General features: G+C 45.3%; 3 annotated features.

Moving 5' to 3' along the window:
• Positions 12,541–12,670: an enhancer, noted in NCBI's record as "active region_29609". NCBI's record gives its function as "activates an Ori minimal core promoter by ATAC-STARR-seq in GM12878 lymphoblastoid cells {active_cell/tissue: GM12878}" and the evidence as "EXISTENCE:reporter gene assay evidence [ECO:0000049][PMID:35858748]".
• Positions 12,861–13,120: an enhancer, noted in NCBI's record as "active region_29610". NCBI's record gives its function as "activates an Ori minimal core promoter by ATAC-STARR-seq in GM12878 lymphoblastoid cells {active_cell/tissue: GM12878}" and the evidence as "EXISTENCE:reporter gene assay evidence [ECO:0000049][PMID:35858748]".
• Positions 13,171–13,220: an enhancer, noted in NCBI's record as "active region_29611". NCBI's record gives its function as "activates an Ori minimal core promoter by ATAC-STARR-seq in GM12878 lymphoblastoid cells {active_cell/tissue: GM12878}" and the evidence as "EXISTENCE:reporter gene assay evidence [ECO:0000049][PMID:35858748]".

The following is a 13,548-nucleotide window of genomic DNA, read 5'->3' on the forward strand; positions in this document are numbered from 1 at the left end:
TTAAATTTTTATATATTTAGATATAAATTTTTATAGATTTAGGTGTACAAGTACAGTTATGTTACATGGCTATCTTGTGTAGTGGTGAAGTCTGGGCTTTTAGTGTACCTACCACCGGAATAATGTACTCTGTATACAATAGGCAGTATTTCATCCCTCACCCCTTTCCCACCCTCACATCTTTTGGAGTCTCCGGTGTCTATTATTCTACTCTGTATATCCATGTGTACCCACTGTTTAGTTCCCACTTATAAGTGAGAACATGCAGTTTTTGACTTTCTGTTTCAGTCATTTTACTTAGGATAATGGCCTCCAGCTCCATCCATGCTGTTTGCAAGGTACCTTTTAGCATGTAAAGTCACATCACAGTTTCCAAAGATTAGGACATGGGCATCTTCGGGGGCCTTAAGTCAACACAACAAAAACATACATGCACAAACAATGGGAGACTTCACACACTTCCAGAAAGCTCAGAGACCTGAAATGCTGGGACACACACCACAAACAGCTCACTTACCTCATCCTGAGTTATACATCTAGAAAGTGATCACACACCTCCTACCTTGAGACATACATCTAAAGAGCGAGCAGACACACACGTGTTCTGGGACATACACCCACAAACAGTTCTGGGATCTCACAAATTGGGACATACACCCACAAACAGAACAGACCTCATACCCTTGATAAGCAAGCAAAAGAGACTTTTTTTTTTTTTTCAGACAGGGTCTCACTCTGTTACCCAGGCTGGAGTGCAGTGGCATGATAAAGACTCACTGCAGCCTCGAACTCCCAGGCTCAGGCAGATCCTCTCACCTTAGCCTCCCCAATAGCTGGGACTACAGATGCGCCACCAAGCCTGGCTAATTTTTTATTTTTTGTACAGACGGGGGTCTCACTATGTTGCCCAGGCTGGTCTCAAACTCCTGGGCTCAAGTGATCCTTCTACCTCAGCCTCCCAAAGTGCTCGGATTATAGGTGTGAGCCGCCATGCCCAGCCGAGGTTTTTTTTTTTAAACTCACATACTGTAACATACACACACAAATAGATCAGAGACTTCATCTGAGAAATATAACCAAAATGGATCAGGTCTAAAATCCTGCAACAAGAACCCACAACATGTTAGCGATCTCACATCCTGGCAAATACACACTCAGAATAATTAAAAATACTTGATATCTTGGGGTACACACCCACAAAGAGATGAGAGAGCTACGATCCTGGGACATATACCTGCAAACAGATCAAAAGCCTCGACCCTGAGACATACACCAACAAAGAGCTCAGAAACCTCATACCCTGGATGTATACACTGTAACAAATAATACGCCTTGCAACCTGTTATGTATATGAGCATACAAATCAGAAATCTCATATGCTTGTAAATAATGCCAAAAGCCTAAGATATCTACCAACCTGGGATGTATATCCATAAATGGCTGAGAAAACTCACACCTGGGATATATATCCACAAATAGCCCTGGGACATCACATCCTAGGATATGTATTCGGAAACATTAGGGAACTCGCATTCTGAAAAAACTCCTTCAAGGATGTCTGACTTATCTCAACCCGGTTCATTTACCAGAAAACAGATCAGAATCTTCACACCATTAGGCATACACCTACAAAAAAAAAAGATCAGGGATATACATCAGCAAACAGATTAGAGACCTCATAACTTAGACACGTAACCACACAGAGACCACAGGCCTCAAACCCGGCAACATATACCCATAAAGATACCAGAGACGGCCGGGCGTGGTGGCTCACGCCTGTAATCCCAGCACTTTGGGAGGCCGAGGTGGGTGGATCATTTGAGGTCAGGAGTTGAAGATCAGCCTGGCCAACATGGTGAAACCCCACCTCTACTAAAAATGCAAAAATTAGCCAGGCATGGTGGCGGGCACCTGTAGTCCCAGCTACTTGGGAGGCTGAGGCAGGAGAATCACTAGAATCCGGGAGGTGGCGGTTGCAGTGAGCTGAGATTGTGCCACTGCACTCCAGCCTGGGTGACAGATCAAGACTGTGTCTCAAAAAAAAAAAAAAAGATATCAGAGACCTCACACTCTTGAGATGTACACCAACAAACAGATAAGGGAGCTCATATTATGGGATATACTCCAAAACACATCAGAGACTATATATGACCAGGGATCCTAAATTCTGCAACATACACTTACAAGCACATCAGAAACCAGACATGCTATGAAAAAAAGTCAGAAATAGATCATAGATCTCATAACCTGTGACATACACCCACAAAGAGATCATAGAGCTCATATCCAGGAACAGGAACCCACATGTACCCACAAAGAGATCAGAGGATTCAGACCAAAAGATATACATTCACTACGGGCTCTTTGAAACCCCACACGCTGGACATTCACAACTAAACAGATTATATTAGGTACATCCAGAACATATATAGAAACATGTGAGAGTCCTCAAAGCTTGGTATGTATATGCATAAAGAACTAAGGCTGGGTGCGGTGGCTCACACCTGTAATCCCAGCATTTTAAAAGGGAGGCTGAGGCAGGAAGATTACTTGAGATCAGGCGCTCAAGACCAGCCTGGTCAACATGCACAAACATGCCCGTCTCTACTAACAATACAAAAATTGGCCGGGTATGGTGGTGCATGCTTGTAATCCCAGCTACACAGGAGGCTGAGGCAGGAGAATCGCTTGAACCCAGAAGGCAGAGGCTGCAGTGAGTCGAGATCGCGCCACTGCACTCCAGCCTGGGCGACAGAGCGAGACGCCATCTTAAATAAATAAATAAATAAATAAAAATTAAATTCTGCAGTATATACCACAAACAGATCAGAGACTTCACATACTGGGAAATCAACTCAGAAATGAATCAGTCCTCTCAAATTGTGACATACCACCCAAAAGAGACAGGAGAGTTCATATCCTTGGGAATAAACCTGTAAAAAAAAAATAGGGGCCTCAAATCACAGAACATACACTGTCACACAGTTGAGAGACCTCATGTTTGGAAACACACTGAGGAATAGATGAAATACCTCACACATCCTCGAAAAGATCAGACATTACATCATGGGACATACACCTGCAAACAGATTGATGATGCCAAACTGTAGGAATTAAATCCACAAACTGATCAGAGACCTAATATGCAGGGACATATAATCACAAATAGATCAGAGACCTTACATTTTTTACATGCACCCATGAAAAAGATCTCACATACCAGGATACACAATGATACAACGATAGCCACGGACCTCACACACAACAAGAAAAAGGTCATAAGCCTTATATCCTAGTAAATAAACCCCCAACCAGCTCAGGAACCTCTCACTGTGGGACATACTCCACAAACAGATAAGAGAACTCATACCTAGGTTCATACAATCACAATCATATCAGAGAACTTCTATTCTTAGCATATACCCATGAAAGATGCTTCACATACTGATAATTACAATGACAAACACATCACAGACCTAAAATCCTGGGACATACATGCACAAACACAGATCAGATCAGTGACCTCACACACTGGGACATACATCCACAAACATGTCAGAGATCTTCTATTCTAGTAAATACATCTACAAACATGTCAGAGACCTCAACCTCACATCCTGGGACATACTTGCAGAAATAGCCCAGATACCTAAAATTTCTGCATAAACCATCCCTTAATTTGCATGTAACTAAAAGGTGGGCATAAATATGACTGCAGAACGGCCTCTGAGCTGCTACTTTGGGCATACTGCCTATGGGTAGCTCTTCTCTGCAAGGAGCAGCACATCTGCTCCTGCTATACACTGCCGCTTCAATAAAAGCTGCTATTTAACACCACCAGCTCACTCTTGAATTCCTTCCTAGGCAAAGCCAAGAACCCTCCTGAGCTAAGCCTCAACTTTGGGGCTTGCCTGTCCTGCAACCAGATGAAAGATCTCAAACTCAGTGTATCCATGAACAGATCAGAGACCTTACATACAGAGACATATGTGGGCACATGGATCAGAGACTTCTTACTTGGGAACATACATCCAGAAACAGACCAGAGACCTCATATCCTGAGAAATACACCAACAAACTGACTTTGACATACACCAATGAAAATCACATACTAGTATACAGCAACAAATGGATCAGAGACCTCACATCCTGGGAAATATACCACCAAACAAATCAGACATCTCACACCTCTGCATATATACCATCAAAGAGCTCAGAGACTTCACACCATGGGACTTACACACCCAAAAAGATCAGATACTTAAATCCTAGCTCATATAACCACAAACATACTTGAGAACTCACTCTGAGCAATCCACCCCCAAACAGATTAGAAACCTCATATCCTGGAACATATAGCCACAAAAATATCAGAGACTTCATACCCTTGACACTTCACATATACAGGAACATATACAGGGATAAACAGATCTGAGACCTTACATGCACCCACTAGGAGCTCAGGGAACTCACATCCTGGGAAATATACCCACAAACATTTTGGAGACCTCATACCCAGAGATGTACACCCACAGTCATAGCAGAGACCTCATGCCCTAGGACATACACCCTCAGACAGAATAGTCCTCATATTCTCCAACACACACCAAATAAACAGATTAAAGTACTGACATCCCTAAAAAAATACAACCAGAAAAGCTCAGAAATATAACATCTAGGGAAATATAGCCACAAAAAGCTGAGACTCACACCTTGGCACATACACCCACAAAGAGATCAGAGATCTAACATTCCGGGACATAAAACCAAAAACAGATCAGAGACCTCAAACCCTTGACATGCATTCATGAAGAGAGACCTCACATCTTGTCATTGTATAATGACAAGCAGATCAGAGGCCTCATACCCTGGGATGAATACTCACAAGCACATTGGAAACCTTACACCATTGGACATATACCCACAAACAGAACGGAAACCTCAAATATACTTCCAAATGGATCACAGAACTCACATCTTGGAATATATACCCACAAAAAAATCAGAAATCTCTTATTCTGGGAAATATAGACTCAAACAGATTAGAGACCCCACAACTTTGGACACACACGATCAAAGGGCTCAGATACCTTACACCCTGGTATATACACCCATGAACAGAGATCTCATATACTGTGACATAAATGTCAGGGATACTCACAAACAGTTTGGGAGCCTTACATCCTGAGATATATACTCATAAACAGTGCAGAGTACTGATTCCCTCTGCCCTCAAACTCAGAAATATCAAAGTCGGGACACAGGTTCTCAAACACATTAAAGACTTCATATCCAGGGACTCAGTGGCCCAAACAGCTGACACCTAGTGTTCTGGATGCAGAATCCAGTCACCTTGGTGATGTCTCTTCCTGGGACTTAGAAATCCATATACCTCAAAGAATAAACAGAAACAATACACCGTCCTCCAAAGAGTGCATGGATGTGAACCTGGGACACAGACTGCCAAACACCCCAGTGACCTCATACCCAGAACAGACTGCCAGAGAGCTCAGATAATTCAAATTCTGGACTTGATCACGTTCTGAACATGAACAGAAAAAAACAGCCCAGAATCCCCATGCTTTGGGACATAGATTCCCAAATAATTCAGAGATCTAAAAACCTAGAGAGAGAACCCCAAAAGGTCACTTAAAAATGCGAAACATAGAATGCCCAAAAGACCCAGACATCATGGCATGGATACAGACCACGAAAAAGCTCCAAAGTCTCGAACTCCAGACAGACCATCAAAGAGCTCAGAAACACCTCTTATGAGTTATCTATTGCCACATAAAAAATAACCCCCAAATTTACCGGCTTTTGGCTGCTTGAGCATCCTCGAATGATGGCTGGCTTCTACTAGTCAGTGATCCAAGAAAAAGTACAGCAGAAGCCATAAGTGCCTTTTAAATTTCCCTCTAGGTAAGTACTGCTTTGCTGCATCCCACAAATTTGGTAAGTTTTATTTTGATTTTCATTTAGTCCAAACTATTTTTTATTTCTCTTGAGACTACTTTGAGCTACTGGGGCCCTGCATCCTCCCCTAAAGTCTTTCTCTGGAGCTCATACCCTGCCTCTCACATAAATGTATAAACCCGTCTCATAAGCACAGTTTTCAGAAGAGGAACAAAGTTTTTTCTCACTGTGCATCCTTGCCTCATGGTGCACAATCTATTATGCATGTTCTCAAGAGAACAACTGAAGTAAAACTGTGGATTTACTAGAGATGAAGACACAATTCTGGGGAGTGTTTACTCTTTCTTAAACCCAACATACATTTACATTAAACAACATGTGCACATGATTCCTAAGTTCCAACTGAGACAGTCCCAAGCCCACACTGGCCCCTGGCATTTATATGGATTGCTTGCTTCCCTTCCCCCAGCCCTGAATTCTACTTTCAGAAGGGGTGTGGGATTAGGGGGAAGGGACTGAAATCAGGAGAGCGTGTGTGGACTGTGCATTGTCCTACCGATTCTTACCAGTCTTGTAAAAACCTCAGCAGCTCAAGGTTTAGATGATCCAAAACGCTAGACTCTCCTACCATCCAACCAGGACTTGGGGGTTCCAGGCTTTGAAAGAGGGTCTATCAGGCTCCAAAGTCCATGTGTTCTGGGTTATCATCAGTGTGATCAAAGCCTAAGGGGAGATGGACTCCAACATCCATCTGAGCAACGTCCATCCTGAGAGATGGGGGTCCCCACTCAGTGGCTGATGTCAGGAGACACAGAACAAACATCTCCCTACAACACAATCTCCACAAACAGTGTCAAGGGAAACTGTGCCCTCCAGAACAGAGGGCGAGATAGGTTCTGAAGGAAGTTGGTAATTTATACTTTATGGTCTAGGCCAAGCTTGTCCAACCCAAGGCCCATGGGCCACATGCAGCCCAGGACGGCTTTGAATGTGGCCCAACACAAATTCGTAAACTTTCTTAAAACATTATGAGATGTTTTGGCGATTTTTTTTTTTTAGCTCATCAGCTATCGTTAGTGTTAGCTATTTTATGTGTGGCCCAAGACAATTATTCTTCCAATGTGGCCCAGGGAAGCCTGCTGGTCTAGACAAAGAGGCTGGGATTGCTGTGAATCCCGATCCTAATGTGTACTGGAGGAGTTCACAACCAATTGTGGGGTTCCTACTTCTCACCACCTTTCTTTTTCTTTTTCTTTATTTTGGAGACAGAGTCTTGGTCTGTCGCCCAGGAGTGCAGTGGTGCGATCTCGGCTCACTGCAACCTCAGCCTCCCAAGTAGTTGGGATTACAGGCATGCACCACCATACCCGGCTAATTTTTGTATTTTTAGTAGAGACGGGGTTTTGTCATGTTGGCCAGGCTGGTCTCAAACTCCTGACCTCAAGTGATCCACCCACCTTGGCCTCCCAAATGCTGGGATTATAGGCGTGAGCCACCACACCCAACCCTCACTGCCTTTCTGAACTGGCATATGGTCCAGGCAGAGGGAAAAGGAGATGTCACACATACCTCATGTCTGGATTTGGTATGTGAAAAGGTCACTAATTCCTGATATAGCACCCCGAAAGAGCTCAGAGCTTTCAAACCTTGGAACAGAAACCGTAATACAGACCACAGACCTCACACTCTGAGACACAGACCCAAACACCTCTCAGAGAACATAAACCTCAGACAAAGACCCCTAAATTGTTCAAACGCTTCATACCCCACAGACCAGTGGTTCTCAACCAGAGGCGATTCTGCCCCGCAAAGAACATTTGGCAATATCTAAGGACATTTTGGCTGTCACAAATATGTGTTGCGGGCGTGCTACTGTCATCTGTGAGTTGAAGCCAGGGATACAGCTTGCCAGTGTCCTTTAGCCAAAGACCCCCGCCCCACCCAGGAACATACCTGTAGTGGAACAAGTTGGGATGATTACTCATTGCAGTGAGGGAGAACGCACTCCATGGGGAAGTGTGGGGTGGTCGGGTTTGATTGAGTGATTTGGGGGTAGGGTCTAAGGAAGTGGGGGCTCACTCTAGATTAGATGCTGTCAGAAAACAAGGGCAATTTTACAATTGGGTATTTCAATAAATCTTATCTATAGGGAGGGCAGACTAGAGTGAGGCTAACGCTGTCATTGGTAAGGAAGTGGCAGTCACTCATTTTAACCAAGAGAGGAGAATGTTTAGTATTTTATGGGCAACACAGTGAATCCTTATTTTTGTTTGTGCTTAAACAACATTATAAAGTGGCTGTGCTCTATTTTATTATTTTATTATTATTATTATTATTATTATTTTTATTTTGAGACACAGTCTCGCTCCGTCACCCAGGCTGGAGTGCAGTGGCGCGATCTTGGCTCACTGCAAGCTCTGCCTCCCGGGTTCACGCCATTCTCCTGCCTCAGCCTCCCGAGTAGCTGGGACTACAGGTGCCCGCTACCACGCTCGGCTAATTTTTTGTATTTTTAGTAGAGGCGGGGTTTCACCGTGTTAGCCAGGATGGTCTCGATCTCCTGACCTCGTGATCTGCCCGCCTCGGCCTGCCAAAGTGCTGGGATTACAGGCGTAAGCCACTGCACCCGGCCTATTTTATTATTTTTTTGAGACAAGTTCTCACTTTATCCCCAGGCTGTAGTGCAGTGTGGCATGATCTCGGCTCACTGCAACCTCAAATGCCTGGGTTCAAGCAATCCTCTGGCCTCAGTCCCTCAAGTAGCTGGGATTACAGGCACCCACCACCATGCCCGACTAATTTTTGTATTTTTTGTAGAGACGGGGTTTCACCATGTTGTCCAGGCTGGTCTCGAACTCCTGAGCTCAAGCGATCGGCCCACCTCAACCCCCCAAAGTGCTAGTATTACAGGCGTGAGCCACCTCATCCGGCCAAGCTCTGTCGATTTTATCATGGTCTCAGACTAACCTTACCTGACGCTGGTATTCTGTGAGATTGTTCACGTCCGTTAGGAGAATAACATGGCCTACCTATGGGGGCCGGGCCTGCTTCTGGGTGTCAGAGGCTGCTCCCTTCTTCCCTCCCTTTTTCTCTCATGCTAAACGTCTCTTATGGGTGAAATTATGTCCCCTCAAAATTCCTACGTTGAAGTCCTAAACCCCAGTACCTCAGAATGTGACCTTATTTGGAAATAGGGTTGTTGCAGATGTAATTAGTTAAGTTAGAGATCATGCTGGAGTAGAGTGGGCCCCTAATCCTGCGCCACTGGTGTCTTTATAAAAAGCGGAAATTTGGACACAAGACACACAGGGAGAATGCAAGGTAAAGATGAAAGCAGAGATGGGGTGATGCAGCAGACACCAGGGAACAGCAAAGATTGCCAGCAGGCATGAGAAGCTAGGAAAGATGCAGGGCACACATTCCCCTCATAGGCCCCAAAGGAACCAACCCTGCCAACATCTTGATCTCACACTTCCAGCCTCCAGAATTGTGAGACAATACATTTCTGCTATTTAAGTTACCCAGATTGTGGTACTTTGTCATGACAGCAGCCCTAGTAAACAAATACAATAGACCCTACAATGCACAGAACAGCCCTCCATAACAAAGAATTTTCTGGTCCAAAATGTCAACAGTCCCAAGGCTGAGGAACCCTGCCCTGGATACAGAACCGAAAAGTTTTTATTGACCTCATTATCTCTGATAGAAGACAATAAAAACCAGCTGACAGTATACACATCTTTGAACATAGTCCTTCAAAGTGCTCAGAAACCTCACACCTTGAACATGGAAGCCCATACAGCCCAGAGAAGACAAGCCTAAAGAGACTACTAACAGGTCAAAGACATCATACTCTGGGACAAAGACTACCAAGATGACGAAAGACCTAGCATCTAAAAACATATACCAAATGTTCAGAGACATCACATCATGAGACACAAAACCCAAGAGAGCTCTGGGTCCAAAGAGCTCAGATATTTCACACCCTGGACACAAACCGGTGAACAACAGCTCATAAATAACCGTGTCATTCATTTCCTGATTTTAAAAATTGTACTAAGATTATATAAGTAAGCATTAGGAGAAAAAGAGTATATAAGAACTCTCTGCACTATTTTTATAATTTTTTTAAGTCTAAAATGCTTTTAAAATTTAAAAAATGTTAAAGGCTGGACGCAGTGGCTCACATCTGTAATCCCAGCACTTTCAGAGGCTGAGGTGGGTAGATCGCTTGAGCTCAGAAGTTGGAGACCGGCCTGGGCAATATGGTGAAACCCCTTCTCTACAAAAATACAAAAATTAGCCAAGGGTGGTGGTACACACCTGTATTCCCAGCTACTTGGGAGGCTGAGGTGGGAGGATTGCTTGAGCCCAGGAGGTCGATGCTGCAGTGAGCCATGATCACGCCAGTACACTCCAGCCTGGGTGACAAAGCAAGACCCTGTGTCCAAAAAATAAAATAAAATAAAAATTTTAACAAAAATGATCACAGGACGTAAAAGGGAATTTAGAAAACTTAAATAAGGCCAAGTGCAGTGGCTCATGCCTGTAATCCCAGCACTTTGGGAGGGTAAGACAGGAGTCCAGGAGTTCGTGACCAGCCTGGGCAACATGGTGAGACGTGGTCTTTACAAAAAATAAAAAAATTAGTGGAGTGTGGTGGCACATGCCTGTGGTCTCAGCTACTCAAGATCAGGAGGCTGAGGTGGGAGGACTGCTTGAGCCCAGGAGGTCGAGGCTGCAGTGAGCCATGTGCATGCCACTGTACTCAGCCTGGGCAACATAGTGAGACCCTGTCTCAAAACAAAACAAAACAAAACTTAGATACATCTTGCCAACAAGCACAGAAAACAATGTTAAGCCCTTCTAGCAGTCACAGAAATGCCAATAAAAGAAAAATGAAAATCAATTTTAAGAAAAAAAAAAAAAGGCTGAGTGTGGTGGCTCACATCTGTAATCCCAACACTTTGAGAGGCTGAGTCAGGAGTATCATTTGAGCCCAGGAGTTTGAGACCAGCCTAGGAAACAGAGGGAGACCCTGTCTCCACACGCAAAAAAAATTATTTTGGGACAGGGTCTTGCTCTGTTGCCCAGGCTGGAGTGCTGTGGTGAGATCACAGTTCACTGCAGCCTTGACCTCCTGAGTAGCTGGGGACAACAGACACGTGTCACCATACCCGGCTAATTTTTTTTTTTTTGTAGAGATAGGGTTTCACCATGTTGGCCAGGCTGGTCTCGAACTCCTGGGCTCAAGGGATCCACCCACTTTGGCCTCCCAAAGTGCTGGGATTACAGGTGTGAGCCACCGTGCCCAGCCTACAAGAAAAAAAAAAAATAGCCGGGCCAAGTGTGGTGGTACGCACCTGTGGTCCCAGCTACTCAGGAGGCTAAGGTGGGAGGATTGTTTGAGCCAGAGGTCGAGGCTGAAGTGAGCCATGATTGCACCACTGCACTCCAGCCTGGGCAACAGAGAGAGACCCTGCCCCTAAAAACATACAAAAAGGCCTGGGCAACATAGTAAAATCCCACCTCCACAAAAAATAAAGAAAGTTAGCCGGGTGTGGTGGCACGTGTCTGTAGTCCCAGCTACTCAGGAGGCTGAGGTGAGAGAATCACCTGAGATTGGCAAGTTGAGGCTGCAGTGAGCCGAGATCACACCACTGCACTCCAGCCTGGGTGACAGAGCAAGATCCTGTCTCAAAAATAAATAAATAAAAGTAAAGACACACAAAAAAAGAAAAGAAAAAAAAACTCTGCACATCCGGGGACAAAGATCCATAAACAGCTTAGAAACCTTGGGACATTCTGGACCAACGTAAACAGAAAAACAGAAAAGAAAAACAAAAAAAAACAAAAAAAAAAGAAAGAAAAAAGAAACCAACCCTGGGACAGAGACCCACAAAGATCTCAAACACCTAAACCTCTGAGACACAGATTTTCAAACAGCAAAGAGACTTCACAGTCTTTTTATAAGTCATACCCTGAACTGAGATTCCAAAACAAATCAGACTTCACATCCTGCACACAGTCCTCCAAACTGCAGAGTGTAATAACTACCCTATGATGAGCTGACTTGACTTGAGAATCACTTTCTTCCTACTACCTACCTACCTCACCAGCCAAACACCTCCCCTGTCTGATGTTTAAAATCCCATCATTTAAAAGCGTACTCTTTTAAGTCTTGCCCCCACCTTCCAAAATTCTCCTTGTAGTTGCCACAAGCTCTTCAGCATCCCAGAGCGTGAAACCATGCATCTCTCTTTTAATCACTTATAGCCCACCCCATCACACTCCTAGTCAGGCCTGGTCCTGAGGGAAGCCTCCAAATCACCCTCTTCTGGGAGATGGGGGCTGGCCTGGAGGAGGATCATGAGATCACCTTGAATCTTATCTGCTGGACTCAGACCTACAGGTAGCCTGAAAGACAAATGCCAGGGACCCTGAAGAATTTTTCTTAGTGCTGTTGTGAACGGTGAGTGGGTCCTGAAATCAATATAATGGGATGCAATAGGCATTGCTTAAAAAAAGAAAGAATAGGTAAAAGAAAATGGAAAAGATTACCCGACACACTCTGTGCCAGCCCTTGAGTACAAGCCAATAATGCCAGCTTCTTTTACAGGTGCACAAGTTGAACTTCCCAGACGGGATTCGAACCTACGATCTCCAGTAGCCAAAGCCCTGCCTCGGCAACCCTGAACGCCAACCCAGGAGCCAAAGCGCTTGCGCCGAAACAGCAGCCAATAGGAACGCGGAGCCGAAGGACCCGGCCTGTAGCCTCTTAGTGATTCCGGAAAACCTCGGTACCCTGGAAGAGCTTAGGTAGGCAGTCTCGCGGTGACCAATCAGAGCTCAGGGCAAGACTTTGTCCCGCCCTACGCAACTCGTCCAGGAAGCAATCGCCGCTCCGCGGCCTTCCTCCTCACCCCACCCCCGGAGTTGATTCGCATCTGTATAGCCAACCCGGCGGGAACGGATATATTAATAAAAGCTTGGTGGCGGCGGCTTCCAGACAGGTGGACGCTTTAGGCCGAAGATCGGGTCCGCCCGGCGCGGGGGTCGGTCCAGGCAGAGCCATTCTCTCCTCGGTCTAGGGTGGAGGCCGATCCACTCGCGGGATGAGGAGACCTTTCGTGTCTCCACTAGTACAATGGTATCTTCCGAAATACACGACCCCTCCCCTGTGGTACCTCCCATGACCGTAGTGGTATGGTCCTGGAGCTGCACAGTCTAGTCGTTAACCCTTCATTCCCACCGCTCACGCTCCCCTTGTGTGTGCGACAAGGACTCTTTCATGTCAGTGTCAAGTGAATCAATCTTCAGTTCACCGCAAAAGAACTAAATGGACTCTTTCATGCCTTCCTCCTGCCCACGTTCCAGCCCTGTCTCCCCCAACCGACGTCCCCCAGAGCACTGTCCCTGCCCCATACCCTGATGATTCGTTTGAGAGCAAAGGCCCAAGCGTCCAAACCCTTGCTGCAGAGCCACCGCCCATTAATGGGCATTCATTCCCGAGGCCACTGATGGAAGTCTGCCTTTGTGTGGCAGCATTTATCAAAATAAAAAGCAGACACCCCTCCTTACTGGAATGTCACCACCACGAAGGTAGGGAGGGATATGTGTATTTCTAGACCC

The sequence above is a fragment of the Homo sapiens genome, chromosome X, assembly GCF_000001405.40.
Source record: "Homo sapiens chromosome X, GRCh38.p14 Primary Assembly".
Taxonomy (NCBI): domain Eukaryota; kingdom Metazoa; phylum Chordata; class Mammalia; order Primates; family Hominidae; genus Homo; species Homo sapiens.